Source organism: Homo sapiens, chromosome 15 (assembly GCF_000001405.40).
Source record: "Homo sapiens chromosome 15, GRCh38.p14 Primary Assembly".
NCBI classification, from domain to species: Eukaryota; Metazoa; Chordata; class Mammalia; order Primates; family Hominidae; genus Homo; species Homo sapiens.
In genome coordinates, this window is record NC_000015.10 from 27839356 (window position 1) to 27857650 (window position 18295).

An 18295-nucleotide genomic window follows, 5' to 3' on the forward strand; every position below is an offset into this window, starting at 1 on the left:
GTGTGAGTCATATCAATAAATGTGAGTGGACTAAGTTCATTTATTAAAAGAAAACAATACTTTTATTTTGATTCACAAAGCAAGTCCCAACAGTCTATATGAGACACACCTAAAACAAAGTGATTTAGAAAGGCTAAAAGCTGAGCAAGTGATTTGTGATTCCAATACTGAATAAAGTACAATCAAGTCAAAGAGCATTAAGCATGACAGAGGGGATGTTTAATAGTGCTAAAAGCCTCCGACTCACAGTAGAGACAGAACAGTGATAAATATGTATCCACCAAATAACATAGTAACCACCTTTCAAAGATAAATAGTAAGAGATTCAAGGAAGAAATAAAGAGACACACTTGTAACAGGAAATACTTAACATGCCACTTAAAGTACATGACAGATTTAGTGGACAAAAAATAAGTAAGGATATAAATGACCTAGTATAATCATTGGGTAGATTTGAGAAATATGTAAGTTTATACAATAACAACAGAGAATGCACACATAAAATATGATCAAATTTGGTCACAAAGAAACCAGAGGTAAGTTCCATCAAAATAGAAATTAATAAAATAAATAAAAAGATTCTTCAAACTGGAAATTGAGAAGAACTGTTATTAAACATCCAATTCAGATGAAAGGAAAGCCACACTGAAAATACAGAAATCCTAGAAATAATGACAATGGAAGCATTATATATTAAACTCCATGGAATACATTTAAAGCAGTGTTCGGAGGAAAGAGCTTAGCCTTAAACACTTATGGCAAATAAAACAAACAAATAAAAATAAATGAAATAAATTTGAAATTTGAAAAAACTAAAGAACAGCAAAGTAAACCAAGAGAAAGCACTAGGAAGGGAATGATAAAGAAAAATGCAGCAATGAACAAGGCAGAAAACAGAAAACTAGACCTAAGAAATACATCAAAGTCTTATTTTTTGAAAAATAAAACAGAACTAGATGAATCACAAGCCACTAATCAAAAACAAATCCACAGATAAGAAATGACAAGGGGGAAATAACCACCAAAACAGACAAAATTTAAAAATAATTCTAAGAAAATATTTGCAGACCTCTCGATACCAGTATTTTTAGGGTAATTTTAAATTATGTGTCTATTCCAATATTTCTGATCCTAATAAAAGTGTAATCCAGTATGTTGTCTCTCATAGCTCCAGTAATCAAGACAGTGCACTACTGGGGAGGGACAGCCATCCAGATCAATACACCAGAACAGAGAACCCAGGAACAGATCCACAAAGATGCACTCAGCTGATGAGTGACAGCTGCAACAGCAACTCAACGGAGGAACCATAGCCATTGCACCAAACGGTGCTAGAGTGCAGTGATATCCATATGCAAAAATAAAAGAAAATAAAACCTTGATCTAAACCTCACACCTTATATGAAACTTAACTCAAAATGGAACATGAACGTAAATGTAACATGTAAATCAGTAAAACCTGGGAGAAAAAAAGGGCATAGGAGATAATCTTTGAAAAACATCTAGGGCTAGGCAAAAAGGTCTCCTGTTGTCATGCTTTTGACACCAAAAACACAACACATTAAAAATTTTTTTGACACATTGGGCCTCATTAAGATTCAAAACTTTTGATTTGTATAAGAACCTGTTAAGTGGATGAACAGTCTACAGACTGGGAGAAAATGTCCTATCTGCTTTATTCGTAAGAGCCCCAAACTGGAAACAAGTCAGGTGTTCTTCAGTGAGGAGATGACTAAACAAACTGTGGTCCATCCATACCATGGAGTGCAATGCAAAGAAATCAAATACTGGCATGTGAAACAATTTGGATGAATTGCTAGACAATGATGCCGAGTGAAAACAGCCAATACAAAAAGGTCACATGTTGTATGATTCCATTTATGTAGCATTCTTGCAATGACAAAATGTTAGAGATGGAGAAGAGATTGGGGCAGGGGTAGAGGTGGGAGGGATGCAGAGCTGGCTGGAAAAGGCCAGCATAAGGGTGCCTTGTAGCAATGGAACTCTTCTGTGCCTTGACTGCATCAATGGCAGCATCCTGGCTATGATCTTCTACTATAGTTTGTCAAGATTTTACTACCAGGGGTTTCTGCACAAAGGGCTCACAGAATCTCTCTGAATTATTTCTTACAACTGCACATGAATCTACAATTATCTTGAAAGAAAAAGTTTTAAAAAATTAATGAAAGCAAAAAGTATAGATAAAAATGGAGCTAAAGTTTATCCATTTTGACTATAGAATATCTAAAATTCCTTTGCCAAATTTAAAATACAAAAATAAGCTTAAAAATAGTCACAACATATATATCAGAACTGATTTCTGTAGATGCAAGAGAGCTTCTGAAAAATAGGAAAATTCATCTCTCAAGAGAAAGACGAAGGCAAAGGATATGAATAGAAAGTTTACAAAATAAGAAATGCAAATATTCAGTGTTTATACAGAAAGAGTATAATCTCAGTAGAATTAATTAAAACAAAACATGAGTCTATTGTTAGCCAGCCAGATGAACCTTGAGCATTTCAAATGGCAGTGACGAGTTTCAGCAGTGAAGTTCAATAAAATGCGTGGAGAGCAACATTTCTGGATGCCAGCTTGTCAATATTTATCTGGATTCTTAAAACATCACTCATTTAACCAGCGGTTCTATGTCAGAAAATTTATCTTCAATTATCAGAAATGAAACAAGGTTTTATCTATAAAGATATTTATCACACCATAACAAGAAACAGCAAGCAACCTCAATGCCTCAATGTAAAATAAACCAGGATACATCTGCCTGTTGGAGGCATAGCTATTCTATTTTGGAAGGACAATTTATGTCTTGTTAAGATGCTCACAATAGAGTATAAAGTATAAAAGGTAGGACACAATGTGATTCAAAGGCTTTGTAAAAAATATGTAATCTATGGTAGGCAGGAAAAATGTAAGAAAACACACCAAATTACGATCAGTGGCTATTTCTAGGTAGCAAAATTATAGGTTACTTTTGTATTTTATTCGTTTACATATTTTCCATTAAATACTTATCTACATCATGAGAGAAATGGTAATTCTTTAAAACATTCTGCAATGTGTATCACAGGAAGCCCCCTTTTGTGAAAATAAATCTTTGAGTTAGATAAAAGTCAAATCAGTGCATGTGCAATTGCAAATTAAGAAATTCATGCAAATAAAGGCCCTACTACAATTAGATAACCATTCCCTGGGCAAAAACTGCTCTGATTTCTGCACAGCAAGGACCTGGCAAGAAGGATGGTCAGAGCTGGAAGAACTGGAACCAGGCAAAAACAAGGAAGGAACTCTGTTGACCACTCACCACAAGGACACACTCTCCATCCAAGAAGATGCATGTGATTCATAAGGCTGGGACTAATGAGCTTTCAAGGAGACAACTGGCAGTCTTGCCCAAGCTTTCTGAGGCCACCGACTTCCTGTCATACTAGCTGTTCACCACAGTAACTGCACACACGCACACACACACACGCATAGGTGTGTCACACACTGCACACCAAATGCAAGAACTATGTGAAAAGTTCAGTGCCCACATGCATCACCCACTGGAGCTGAACCTCAGGCACTTTACATGTCCCAGGTGGAGTGGACGCAAACCCTTTCAGTTGGGCAGATGCCCTGGTTATTATTCCAAAGTGCTACTTGGGAAAAGATCAGACTGGGGTTGCCCTAAAAACCTTCTTTTTAAAAAAATACTAATGCCAGGCCTCCCATGCCTACTTGTGAGACCAACTGGTGTTGCAAAAAGCCATGCTTTTTGCTCTCTGAAATCCAGCCTATGGGTTGCCAGAGAGTAGAGGAGCCAGTGTATAGTATGCTTGGCCAACCAAAGAAGAGGAGATGGAGGATGTGAGAACGACGGCCTTCCAGGGCTGCAGAAGTTAGGAGCCCGGCCCAAATGAAGGAGGCAGAGCTGGTAGAGAGGGTGAACTGAATCTCTTCCTGCTGCCCACTCAGCACACTTGTCTCTGATCCCCTCTCTTGGCTGTGCTCTGGGTCTGACCCTCACTGACCATAGGGCAAAGATGAGAAGATGGCAGTGTGTGGTAGGCCACCCTGCAAAGGCCACTGCTATATTTGCTGTAATCAATGCTGTTCTCATTAAGGTAATTCTTGTTTAACTGACAGGATGATTTCTTTTATGCTCAGCAGAGGCAGATGAGAGTCCAAACAGAAAGAACTGGGTCAGGCATTAAGTTCTGAACCCTGTCCCTTAGCGGCAGGGTCAGCGATATGCCCAGAGTCCCACCGGGAGACGCACATTCAGCGTCCCCTGAGGCTCACACCCAAGTCACCCAGGAGTGTCATTCAAATTAATGCCTCAGCAAAATTACCAGGTATTACTAGTTTCTTACGAACCATGGAAATGGCCAATATAATAAGTCTGGCAAAATCCAACGTGCTAGTGTTCAAAGAGCCTGCTGTGTGTGGGTCCTCACCTGGGTATGATGGCCAGGGTTCTGTTCCCAAGCCAGCCCCAGGCAGCAGTGCCTGGTGCAGGGATCGCTGTCTCCACTGGCTACAGGGTTCTCTGCCACTCAACCAAAGTTGAGGTTCCAAATCTTTACCCGAGGCTGGTTCTGAGAACCATCATTGTGCATACACCCTGTGCAAATGTACAAAGAACTCCACAGGAAACTTGCTCGACACCAAATAAATGAAGTTCATTTTAACAGCACCATTTGACAGGGGTTTCCAGCCTCCATTCTGCCCCCTCACCTGTTTGCAATGTGCAGTGTGCTACTCACACACAGACGTGTCAGCAGTCAGGGCCCCAGCGCGGACTCAGCTCCTCCTAGAGGAGGCTCTACTCTGCAGGCATCCGCTGGACGCCCCCACCGAGGGCCTCATCTCTGCACAGTCCTCCTGAGAGGTGCCCACACAAGAGAGGGACGCCACTGCCAGGCTGCCCCCATTCCGCCACCCTGGCTTCAGTCTGCAACATTACGGGGTCTTTGCTAGCAGGGACTGTGCAATCCAGCACCGTCTTCGTGGACAGTCAGGGCACAAGCTCCCACTGGAATATTCAAGAGGACAGCCACACGAAATATCTGGCAAGCCCACAGTCATTTCCTGGCCCCCTGACTCAACCTGAGTCATCCAGGATATCTGAACCATCCTCTGTGTTATGGAGCTAATCCCAGCAATTTTTTTTTTCTTGAGACAGAGTCTCACTTGTCACCCAGGCTGGAGTGCAGTGGTGCAATCTCAGCTCCACCTCCCGGGTTCAAGCAATTCTCCTGCTTCAGCCTCCTGAGTAGCTGGGATTACAGGTACATGCTGCCATGCCCAGCTAATTTTTTTTGTGTTTTCACCATGTTGGGGATTCACCATGTTGCCCAGGCTGGTCTCAAACTCCTGAGCTCAGGCAATCCACCCGTCTCGCCCTCCCAAAGTGCTAGGATTACAGGCGTGAGCCACCAGCAATAAATTTTTAATGTGTTTTTTTCTGAGCTAATCTCCCCTACACCACAGTCTCTCTACTTGCTAAAAATATGCTTATTTTAGCATTTAATGTGTTATTTTTTTAATTAAGTAAGCTTAGGAACTAGACAGTTTAACAGAAAATTTAAAGGGAATTTAAAAGTACCTGAAAAATTCCATGAAGGAGAACCCATATCCATGCTGTTCTGCAATCCCTGCACACACGACGTTTGCCGACGCGCCAATCAGTGTCCCGTTACCTAAAGTCAAAATTTAAAAACAAAATCCCAGTTCATCTTGGTGGTAAGCTTCTGTTCTCTTTGGTTTGTAATATTTAGATCATCTCACAGGCTTTGATTTGATTATTATTTTATAGTCAAAGTGACCGCTTTGTAAATATCTGGAAACACACACACACGCAAGCAAGCAAAAAATAAGCTCACTGATTACAAATACCATGATTCATTTATGGATAAGACCATGGCTGTTGTATTTAACAGAGTGGAGGAAAGCTAAGGAGAATGGGCAAGTCACTGTGGGGCTGTGTGTCTTTCAGAGAAAAACACAAGTGGGGCCAACAACCAAAGCCCAGAACGTGTGTCCCTCAGGAATGCAGTCTCAGACAGGAACCACCTTCCTCTGGACTCCAGGCCCACACACTAGGAAACTCTTTCAGTGGATGAAAGGATAGGTAAAAACAACCAGGTGGAACCCCTTTCCTTCACGTCTTCACCAATGGCATCTCCTTGACATAAAACACCTCTCTGGGTAAGCTTTTATGACCGTGCACACATGCATGCGTGCCATCCTCGCAGCCTGGTGAGCAATAGGGCCAAGGTGGCCACTTGGGTCATGAGATCCAACCCCCCACACACACTCACACCCAGGGAAGGCCCAGGAGCCTCCTCCGTCGCTCCCAGCCATCGTGGTCAGTGTTCACGAACAGGCGCGTGATTTGGGCTCAGCCAGTTTAGCTGAGTCCTGATGTCCGTGCACACACGGTTGAGGAAGAGTCGCCTTCCATCTCCATCTCTCTCTCCTTCTATGGAGGATGGGTGAACTGTGCAACACTGCCCTGGAGCTGCCTACAGCATGTCAGTGTGAGGGAGCAACCTTTCAGAGGCTGGACAACATGAATAACAGAGCAGGTGGAGGCCCCACGTCCCCATGAAGACACAGCACAGACAGGGTGAGCAGTGTGCCCAGGTGTCAGGTCGGGAAGTGGCAAGTCCTGACCGTGAACCATTCTGGCTCCAAAGGAAGATCAGTGAGAGGTGGGGCTCAGGCTGCCCCAGGCCTTTCTGTAGACAGCCATGCAGTGTCTGAAAGGCCTGGAGCAGCTGCGATATGCGAGTCTTCGGGGCAGTGCTGGCCCAGACAGCCCCCTCTGGGCACTGTTGCACCAACGGTTCCATCCCATCATCCTGCCTGCCAACCCCACTCCTTCCCTGGCCAGGAGACCTGCCCAGTGAGACTCCACACCCTTGCCAAGCCATCTAATGTGGCCATCATTTCTCACTGTCCGACAAGTCTCTTCCCACAAAGAAGCCGATGTTCCTCAGCAGGCCCTGCCCTGCTCAGCCCCAAGAATGCACCTGGGTACCAGGACAGCATCAGCCTGCACCCTAAACCCTACTAACTCCAGGACATCATGAGTGGAGCCCAACCCATGGTCCAAGTTTACAGTCAGCAACTTGCGTGAGTGCTGAAAATAAAAGACTCCACTTATTTTCTCTCCCATTAAGGATTAGTGATTGAAAAAAATGCCCATTTTCCAATTAAAATGATAGTTTTGCAGGCAGGTCCTGCCCAGGTGGAGAGCATTTCACCCTGTCTGCTGTGGGCGTGGATTCCTGATCTGCGAGGGACCACTTCCCAGGAAACAGAAGGATCTTTCCATTTCCTTTTGTAGGTTGCCAAGGTGAACTGCTCAGGAGGCTATTTTGGTCCTGAGCACTCTGGACTCAGGGAAAGGAATGGGGAGGAGGAAAGGATGTTGAAGGATCTGGAGGAGGGGCTGCATACCGCCTGGGGCCTGCATGAGGAAGGCTGGGTGAGGATGGGGGGCAAGTGGGGAGCACAGCTCTTTCCTTGGAAAGGGAGATGCGGCTGAGGACAGGCAAGGGCAGGGCTGGCTTATGTCATGGGGGTGACTGCTCAGCCTTCAGACATCAGACATCCACCCATCTTCTCAGGAGTGTCGTGTGGGTGACACCAGAGGGGCTGCTCTCCCCCAGAGGCCCTCCTGCAACCAGATGTGTCTGAATTGCCTGGCCTCCCTCCCTGAGGGCCCTCCTTCTCAGCCATCCCCTTGCAGAAGTCCTTCAGCCTTCTCACAGACTCATAGCCTGGGAGGCAGGACATCAACTCGTTAAGTCGCACAGAGCCCTGTTTCTTTAAAGAATGCTTTACGGGCAACAGAAACCTGATGAACAGCACTTAGACACGTGTGCGACCACCTCCTCCCCTGTAAGGAGAAGCCTGGAGACAGAGGGCGGGGAGCTGGTGCTAGGCCTGCTACTGTCAGGCAGGTCTCCACTGTTCTCGGCCTCTCCCTCCCCTCACAGGATGGCTTCCCAGCCACATCTAAGACAGGAGGGCAGGGAGGAGAACTGGCACCAACACATTTTGATGACGAAGGCAAAGGCTATGGCATAGGCTCCTACACAGGCCCCTCCTGTCTTATTGGTCAGCAAAATGAGACAAGCAAGGCTGATACCAAAGCAGAGAGGAGGCCCTGGAGAGGAGGCCAAAGACAGGAGGCCACGGAGAGGAGCCTCCGGAAAGGAGGCCCTGGAGAGGCCCCGGAGAGAGGCCTGGAGGTTATGGGTCAGCCCTGGCAGGTTCTGCACAGATGTATTGGAAATAAAGTGTGTCCGCCAGTGCAACAGAAGGAATGCTATATTTAAATTCAGAAGACCTCAGTTGAAGTCTCAAACCTTCTAAGCTCTGTAAGCTGAGCAAATCTGCCACCATTTCTGTTACATTAACTGAGGTATTTGTGATAGTAGGGAAAGGAAGATGCAAAACCAGCCGGTGTTAGCCGTAGGAAGCATTTACCTCCTGGGGACAGGCAGTCCCAGGTGGCACAAGTCCAGACACAGCGACAGCAGAGCTCTGTGGCGCCGTCAGGACCTGCTCCCTGCACCTGTGCGCTCTGCCACCTGCCAGCAACACACAGAGCCGGCCCACACTCAAGCTGCAGATGCCGCAGGCATCTCCTCACCACGCATCCAGACATGACCATGGCCAGAGGAGGGAGCGGGACCCCTATGTTTTCTGAGGTTTGGTCTCAGGGCCAGGAAAATCATTATCAGAGCTCCTCCCTCTCCCACAGAAGACATTCCCTCATGTCACCTGGATTCCACATGGCTTTGGTCTGCCCATCCCTATGCCAGTCCCTGGCCAGGACCAGAAACCCAGCTGCCCATCCCTCCCTATCATGGGCAGGGGCAGAAATGCAGGGAGTCTGCTTCCTCTGTGTTTATGAGGACCATCACCACCTTCCCCAGCATCTCCTGGGGTGGTTGTGGGGTTCACATGAGATTAAGAATGTGAGCCTATTATTCAGATGCCAACGATGTTGCAGTCATTTAATAAGATACCAGTGGGGTTTTAAGGGTATTCCACGTGGCATGGGCTCCATGTGGTAGGGAGAACAAGGCCCCAGGTGTCACTTCCCCAGCTCAAGCCTCCCTCCCAGTTTCCATTGACGGAGAAGCACAGGGGGGTCGGGCCTGCACATGAACAGCCCTGCCTGTCCTGGCACACCCAGGTCATCCTGCATGGGAAGACAATGCATGGATCCAGAGGCAGAACAAGGGCATTTTCAAAACCATGCCTGGCTCTGTTTTTGATGAATGCTGCACACAAAGAATCGAACCTCCAGGGTAACTCCTGTGTCTGCAGTATACATTCCACTCAATAGGCCACACTCTCAGAACAGTGAGATTTTCCACTTGACAGAACACATATAAATTAACTCTATGCATGGACATTCCCTTTGTCGAGTTGAAGAGCCACCAGTCCTTCAAGACCTGGATATAACCTAAGGAAAGCAGCAGCCTTAGGGTTTGAACACAGCCACGTGTGGCCTGGATTGGTGTGAACACAGCCACATGCTGCCTGGATTGGTGTGAACACAGCCACATGCTGCCTGGATTGGTGTGAACACAGCCACATGCTGCCTGGGTTTGTGTGAACACAGCCACGTGCTGCCTGGGTGGGTGTGAACACAGCCACGTGCTGTCTGGATTGATCTGAACACAGCCACATGCTGCCTGGGTGGGTGTGAACACAGCCACGTGCTGCCTGGATTGATCTAAACACAGCCACGTGCTGCCTGGGTTGGTGTGAACACAGCCACATGCTGCCTGGATTGGTGTGAACACAGCCACATGCTGCCTGGATTGGTGTGAACACAGCCACATGCTGCCTGGATTGGTGTGAACACAGCCACGTGCTGCCTGAGTTGTTGAGAAAATAGTCACATGCTGCCTGGATTGACCACAGCCTCTAGATAACTGCAGCAGGGAAGACTTCTTCACTCTCCACGCTCACTTCACTTCCTTCCCACAGGTTTTCTGCCTTAGGATTGCACCTGCCAGTAACACCTTAGCACGTGCACTTGCCTCCACCTCTGCTTTCCAGGAAACTCAGGCAAAGGCAGGTTTTTCTGAAGGCTTATTTGAATAGTTCTTAGCTCTTCATGAAAAGAGCAACCAAAAAATACTGGGGTCAGACCAGTTAAAAAAAAAAAAAGTTGTTTCAAAGTATCCAGTGAATCACCTCCAATTTATAGAGCAAATGACATTTCTAAAACCAAATGAAAACTTCTATTTAAAGTGTTCCTCAGAATGCCAGCCCTGGAGGATGGGAAGTTGGTGTTTCATGGGGAAAGAGCTTCAGCCTGGGCTGGTGAAAAGAGCTCTGCAGATGGACGGTGGTGACGGCTGCGCAACGCTGTGAATGTCCCTAATGCCACTGAACTGTGCACTTACACACAGTTAAGATGGTACATTTTAGGTTACACATATTTTACCATAATTTCTGTAAAATGCTAAATCTTGAGTCAACGAGAAAGGGCCTTGAGAGAATAAGTGTAGAGTTAACTCCCAACACAACTGCACTCCTGCCGTGCCAGGAACAGGTGCCTTTCAATCGCCAGAGCTACTAGATTAAAACGCTCCCAAGACTGAAAACATTCATTATTCGCTGCATCCCTGCTTCCAAAGTGTGCTCAGTTAATAAGTGTCTAATCCTATTTTAGGAATTAGCCTATAAATGGCACACATTGATGTCTCTCCTAGAGAAATCTCCTCCACATTGATCCTACATGTTTTGGGGAAATCCAAACTAGCTCACGAGGCCTGTCACTCTGTATGACCTGGCTTCACACTTCCCTGTCTGCAGAACCTCCTCCGATGTCTCCAGTCTCTCCTCAGGGCCCTGTGCACTCAGGGCACACCACCGTTACAGGACGTGTCAGTCTATGCTGTAACCTTAGTTTAGGTGACCATCCTCCCCACTCGACAGCAGGGGGGTGAATTCACTGTCTGTTACAATGTCAGGGTATAGCAGATGCTCAGCAAGTTCAAATGAACAGAATCCTCATAGGGGATGCATTTCCAGGTGTCCTTGGATCCTGTTCCTTATTGTTGATGTTAAATGTAGCTCTGCATTGCCTTCCCGGGACTGGTTCTTAGGGGCAATTTCAGCACTCAATTTCAACAAGTTCTACACTCTCGGAAGAACTTGAGGCATCAGTCACTGACTTACATGAATTAGCTGGCTGCTGACATTACAGAAACTTCACTGAATGACATTAATCCCCCTTTTCAGCCAAGGAGATAAACTAACCAGAGAGGTATTGATTTAATAGTCAGAAATCAATCAAAGAACAAAGAAAGCTGGATTATCTAAGAATACCTGGATATAAGAATAAAAACTTAAAGCGTATCTGATGTGTTGATCTAAGATTCTTCACAATCCCCCTGTGTTCCCAAAGGTGATCAGGCTTCTTAGCTGTGAGAAGGACTCCCCCGCTGTTCTCTCCACAGCAACGGCATCCACAACCCTGTGTCTGCTCACCAGAGGTCAGTCTCTCCCAACACTCTCTCTAATCCACTCCTCACTGTCTCCAAAGTGCAATGCCCACCCCAAAAACATCCTTTAATCTTTCTTCCCACTCTTATGGGTTAGAGTCTCCCCTTCTAGCTGACCCATTTGTCCCTCCACTGCTTAAGAGAGAAAGAGAACTGCAACTGAGGATGGCTTCTGATTCAAAATCTGTTTCTAAACCTAAGCACGACCCACACAGGCACACGGCGGGAACACATTAGCTGTGAAGCATCAGAACCAGTCATCCCCAGGCAATGGGCCCGGGAAGTCGGGGGCAGCTCTGCAGAGAATGGGAAGGAACGGAGTTGCTCTGGAATTGCTCTGTCAAAGCTGAATATGTGTGTCCACTCAGGAAATCATCCAGACTCTCCTTCATTTGCTTTTAATCTGATACACACTAACTGTTGCTTTGGGCTGAACCACAGTGTGGGCGTGCACCCCCACCCCCATGCAGTCAGCAGCCCCTTACCTCCCAGGCAAGCACCGAAGGCCAGGGCATACATGAGCGGCGGTGCGGGCAGGCCAACCTCAGGGTCGTGGCTCAGGTTCAGGAGCACGGGAATCTGTGGAGGAAGAGGACATTGATGCCACGTCCCATGGACGCTCAGAGAAGCTGCCATACTGTGACCAATTTAGAAAATCCAAATGCTTTCTCAGCATTCAAACTCTAAGGAGCATAAGATTTGTGGAAAGAAACCAAAGCAGACTTTGGAATCCACAGAAACTTGAGTTTGAACTCATCTGTATGTCTTTGATGCCAGCTGCCACCAACTGGTCCTCCTGGTCCTGAGCCCTGCCAGCTGTTGTGGCTCTTATACGGGGTAAAGGCACACAGAGTCTAACACAGGGCCTGAGAACATGGCCATTAAAACAGAGCTCATAGAACCCTGGAGTGCTGTGCTAACTATGCACACGTCATCTTGAATCCTCAACATCCCTCAAGTGTGCTGTTACTCCTTCCTTTGACAGATGAGGAGACCAGGATGCAGAGAGGCACAGGAGCACAGATCTTGAAAGCAATCCAGCCGGAACTCACACACAGTCCCCTGACCCTAAACTGCATGCTGGGTCCCCTGTGCTAAGCCACTTATCACGGCTGCTCCCTGCCAGGCACCCTGAGCCTGCTAACATTCACAGCATGACATCAGGTACCAGATTCTACAGCCAGGAAGCACCATTCTCTAGTCAGCCGTGCCAGCCTCTGGTGCACCTTTCTGACGTTGATGCACTTTGCATTATTGTAATCAATGAAACACAGTGGCTGTGAAGTTTCTGTAAGAAATTTGTGTTCAAGTCTTTAATCCATCTTGAATTGATTTTTGTATAAGGTGTAAGGAAGGGATCCAGTTTCAGCTTTCTACATATGGCTAGCCAGTTTTCCCACCACCATTTATTAAATAGGGAATCCTTTCCCCATTGCTTGTTTTTCTCAGGTTTGTCAAAGATCAGATAGTTGTAGATATGCAGCGTTATTTCTGAGGGCTCTGTTCTGTTCCATTGATCTATATCTCTGTTTTGGTACCAGACTTAAACATTAGATCTAAAACCATAAAAACCCTAGAAGAAAACCTAGGCAATACCATTCAGGACATAGGCATGGGCAAGGACTTCATGTCTAAAACACCAAAAGCAATGGCAACAAAAGACAAAATTGACAAATGGGATTAATTAAACTAAAGAGCTTCTGCACAGCAAAAGAAACTACCATCAGAGTGAACAGGCAACCTACAAAATGGGAGAAAATTTTTGCAACCTACTCATCTGACAAAGGGCTAATATCCAGAATCTACAATGAACTCCAACAAATTTACAAGAAAAAAACAAACAACCCCATCAAAAAGTGGGCAAAGGACATGAACAGACACTTCTCAAAAGAAGACATTTATGCAGCCAAAAAACACATGAAAAAATGCTCATCATCACTGGCCATCAGAGAAATGCAAATCAAAACCACAATGAGATACCATCTCACACCAGTTAGAATGGCAATCATTAAAAAGTCAGGAAACAACAGGTGCTGGAGAGGATGTGGAGAAATAGGAACACTTTTACACTGTTGGTGGGACTGTAAACTAGTTCAACCATTGTGGAAGTCAGTGTGGCGATTCCTCAGGGATCTAGAACTAGAAATACCATTTGACCCAGCTATCCCATTACTGGGTATATACCCAAAGGACTATAAATCATGCTGCTATAAAGACACATGCACACGTATGTTTATTGCGGCACTATTCACAATAGCAAAGACTTGGAACCAACCCAAATGTCCAACAATGATAGACTGGATTAAGAAAATGTGGCACATATACACCATGGAATACTATGCAGCCATAAAAAATGATGAGTTCATGTCCTTTGTAGGGACATGGATGAAATTGGAAATCATCATTCTCAGTAAATTATCGCAAGAACAAAAAACCAAACACCGCATATTCTCACTCATAGGTGGGAATTGAACAATGAGATCACATGGACACAGGAAGGGGAATATCACACTCTGGGGACTGTTGTGGGGTGGGGGGAGGGGGGAGGGATAGCATTGGGAGATATACCTAATGCTAAATGACGAGTTAATGGGTGCAGCACACCAGCATGGCACATGTATACATATGTAACTAACCTGCACAATGTGCACATGTACCCTAAAACTTAAAGTATAATAATAAAAGAAAAAAAAAAAAAGAAATTTGTGTTCAAACAGCATGCCCCCTTGTGGCTTATGTTGCTAGAAGGAGCTGGGAAGGACACAGCCATTGAGCCTGCCTCCGGGAGGCTCCGGAGAATGGAGAGCTATGTTGTCCCCACCAGACACCTCAGAGAGCCCACAGGGTGTGAAGGAGAGACCCCTGGGCCCGCCATCCCGGGCAGTTGCGTATGTCAACCACTCTAAAGAGCAGCAGGAGGAGAGCACCAATGGTGGCTGATCTGGAAAACATTACACAAAAACACAAACAGAAAGCGGACCCCAGTGTGGAGATGTGAATGATGTGCAATAATATTCGATGCCGAGAATTAAGGGGCAAGAGAGCCACCCTCTGCTGGGTGCTCAGTCCCCCAATGTCATGAAAGAGGTGCCTTAGGGCTTACTTGGGAAGATCCATTCACTCTCAGCTCCTGACCGCTGCAGCAGGATTTCGTGTGTGCCCTCTGCTGCATCCCACTGGGGCAGGTGGGTCCTCCTCCCCACCCCAGATTCTGGGCTTGCCTAGTGGCTTCCTTTGACCGATAGAATGTGGGTGGGTTGGACAGAAGATCTTGTGTTTCTGCATGCCCCTCTGGAGGTTCAGGCTCTTGGCCACAACAGAAGATGGAGCCTGGGCACTGCTGCTGCCCTGGGGAGTCCCCATGGGGAGGACATGTGGAGCAGGGTCCGCCCAGCCCCAGCGGAGTCCAGACCAGGAAGCTGCAGCCAGGCCGCTGACCCATGTGCCTGCTACTGCACATGTCTCCACCAGTCCAGGGTCTGGTTCTCGAGAGTTGCCTTGCAGGGTCTGAGAAGGAGCCCTTCATATTTGCTGGGTCACAAGGGGCATGTTGAACAGCTCAATTTTTTGTTGTCAGTAGCGTCAAATATACACTGGAAGAGAAATAAGTAGCACGCTAGGAAAAGCATCTGATTCTGCGTCTATCAATCTGATGCAGAATCAGAAACTCCTGGCAGCAGGGTGCTCCCATGCAGTCCCTGAGGCACTTTTCAAGCTTTGCTTTTGTTGTCTTATGATAAACGCGATTATCATAGAGGCACCTTTAGACTTGATGTCTTCGTTCTTCGGAGGAGTGAGCGAAGTGCAACTTCTCACAACAGCCAGTTATCAATGAGCAGAGCTAACACACACACATCACTGTGAGGCCACGGGGCCCCTAGGCACTGAGCACCATGCTGTTGGTGCAAAGCCAGCCTCCACCCTACAGAACACGGCACGCCACCCGGAACAAGGAGACAGGGTCAGAACAACTAAGCACAGGACCCTGGGTCCTTGTGGGGGCATTGCAGTATCAAGGGAGGAGGCAATGTCTTCAAGCTTAGTGATGTGGAAATTCCAGCAAGTGCTCCTGTGCTGCGAGGTCCATCACCCAAAGCCAGAGAAAACCTACCCCATGTTCCAAACTGCATACTTACAACTGCCAGATTCTGTTACAGGCTGATTGCTTCAAAAAGTATGCTCTGACATTGTTTTCAAAGCAAGCCCTCTCTGGGATTTGCAATTCTGATAAGAACCAGCTCCCTAAACTCCAGAGCCCAAGGGTCTCCCCGCAACTCTGTGGCCTGTCCTCCCAGGCCCTGCCTTGATCAAGCTCTCCTTCCCACAACATAGATGCACCATTTGCCCCTTTAATTCTGTCCTCCATGCAGCCAGCCATGACCTTTCCATCTCTGAAGTCTGCCCATGCAACTGACCTGACTCCACACCCTTCAATCTGAGGCAAGCGCTCCCTCGCCAGGCTGTCCTCTGCCTCACACACTACAGTCTTCACAGGCCTTCACCTGAGCACCACCTGCCACTTCTGTGCAGTTGCCCATGCCCACATCTCCACCTAGGCACATGGTCACTCTTGCCCTCACATAGCCTCCCGCTCAGCCCATAAGAGGCTTGGGCATCTCTCCTCTGAGAAGTCTCCCTGAGTTCCTCAATGTGGCTGCTATTTTATCACACACTATGCCCAGAGCTTACTTCCATCATTGCATTTAACACTTATCCCTCCTCCACTGGATGGGACCATGTTATCTTGTCTATGCTCATTTATTCTTAGTTCAGTCAATAATTATTCTGAATATTCCATTTTGTGTCTGGTTCTGCTCTAGATACAAGAGACAGACAGTAAATATAAGACACAAAAATCCCTGCCCTCATAGAGCTTGCTTTACAGTGGCAGACAGAAAAATTTAAAACTAATGAATGACAGCACAGAAGATGGCAGAGCAGGAAGCTCCAGGAATCTACCTCTGCCTAAAGGATGACTGAACTGGCAGGAACTGTCTGAAGCTACTGTATGAGCTCCCTGTAGCTGCTGTCACAAAGCACCACGAGCTGGGTACTGAAAACAACAGGACTTCATTGCCGCACGGCTCTGAAGGCGAGAGTGTGAAACCAGGTGTTGGCCTGGCTGTGCTCTCTGATGGCTCTAGGGGAGGGTCCTTCCTTGCCCCACTGGTGTCTGCGGCAATCCTGGCCATCCTTGGCTTGTGGGTGCATCACTCCAGCCACACAGGAGCCTTCCCCGTGCCTGTGTGCGTCTGTGCCAAAATTTCCCCTTTTTGTAAGGACATCAGTCATATTGGATTAGGGCCCACCCTGGTGACCTGATTTAAACTTGATTATCTCTGTAAAGGCCCTATTTTCATGTAAGGTTACATTCCAAAGTACCCGGGGTTAGGACCTCAGTATATGTTTTGGGGAGACAATTCAATTCAAACAGTAACTATTTTGGAAGTCTAGAGTGTAGTCAAACACCTTCAGCAACCACAGGAAAGACTGATAAAAAGGGTTTTGGTGAATTTTGGCTTTTTTAATAGTGGTTGTCACTCCCCATCTCTCTCCCTGTGGCAGGAAGCTGTGGGGGTGGCAGCTCATGTTTAGGATGTGACTTGCTGATATCAGGGCAGGCAATAACGACCTTGTCCTCCAAAAACTGAGGTTATGTATGTTGATTGCTGGCCACTGTTTTGATCACTGAGGGGCCAGCACAGAGGCTGGCCATTGTTTCAACCTCCAAGTGATGGAACAGCTTCCAGGGAATTTAAAGTGGCAGTAATTATTTCTGTACACACACACAAACACACACCCCTAACACACACACACACACACACACACACACACACATTTTTTGGGAGCCAGAAATTTAAGGAAATCTTTGTCAGTCTACTAGTTGACTATAGAGATAATAGAAGAAAAACTTCAATGACCATACACTTTTCAAAAAATGTTTGGAAAAATCATAAATGGATGGCTCCAGCACTCAACAAGCAAGACTCAGCAATGTCTGAGGAATGGGAGAATTAGATCTCTAGTATTACCACAACATAATACTCAAAATGTTCAGCTCTTAACAAAGAAGATTACACAACATACAAACAAATAGGAAAGTGTGGCCCATTCACAGAAAAACAATTGACAGAAATCATCCCTGAAGAAGTCTAGGCATTAGAATTATTAGTCAAAGATGTTAATTCAGCTATCTTAAAGAGGTTCAATAACTACAGGAAACCATAGGCAAAGAGTTAGAGGAAATCAATAAAATGATGTACAGACAGAATTTAAATATCACTAAAGAGATATAAATTATAAAGAGGAATCAAATAGAAATTCTGGACCTGAAAGTATAATAACTTAAATGGAAACCTCACTACAAGAGTTCAACAGTGGAATTGAGGAAGCCGAAGAAAGGATCAGTGAACTTGAAGATACGACGTTTGAAATTATCAGGGCTTATCTAGAATATTTAAATTCATAAGAGACAGAAAGTAAGATGGTGGTTGCCAAGGCCTTGGGGGACTAGGGAATGGGGAATTATTTTTAATGGGTACAGGGTTTTAGTTTTGCAAGGAAAAGAGCTCTGGAAATGGATCGTGGTGATAGTTGTACAATAATATAAATTTACTTAATGCTACTAAACTGTACACTTAAAAATGATTAAGATGGTGCATTTTATGTTACATGTGTTTTACCACAATTTAAAAAAATAAATAAAATTTAAAATGTCAAAAAAAGAAGAAATTGTAGGCCTGAGGAGCAGAAA

The 18295-nt window shown here is 45.9% G+C and overlaps 1 protein-coding gene across 28 annotated transcripts in view; it reads right to left on the reverse strand.

The window, feature by feature from the left end:
* OCA2 (OCA2 melanosomal transmembrane protein) overlaps positions 1 to 18295 on the reverse strand; it is a 380308-nt gene that overhangs the window by 120348 nt on the left and 241665 nt on the right. For 25 of the 28 annotated variants that reach the window (XM_047432619.1, XM_047432618.1, XM_047432609.1 and 22 more), the window contains 2 exons: positions 12027 to 12120; positions 5604 to 5697 (listed from right to left, as the gene is read on the reverse strand). The exons of the other annotated variants lie outside the window; for them this stretch is intronic. In XM_047432619.1, coding sequence (XP_047288575.1) covers positions 5604 to 5697; positions 12027 to 12120 — 188 coding nt within the window. The remainder of the gene's footprint in view (positions 1 to 5603; positions 5698 to 12026; positions 12121 to 18295) is intronic. 28 annotated transcript variants of the gene reach the window in all.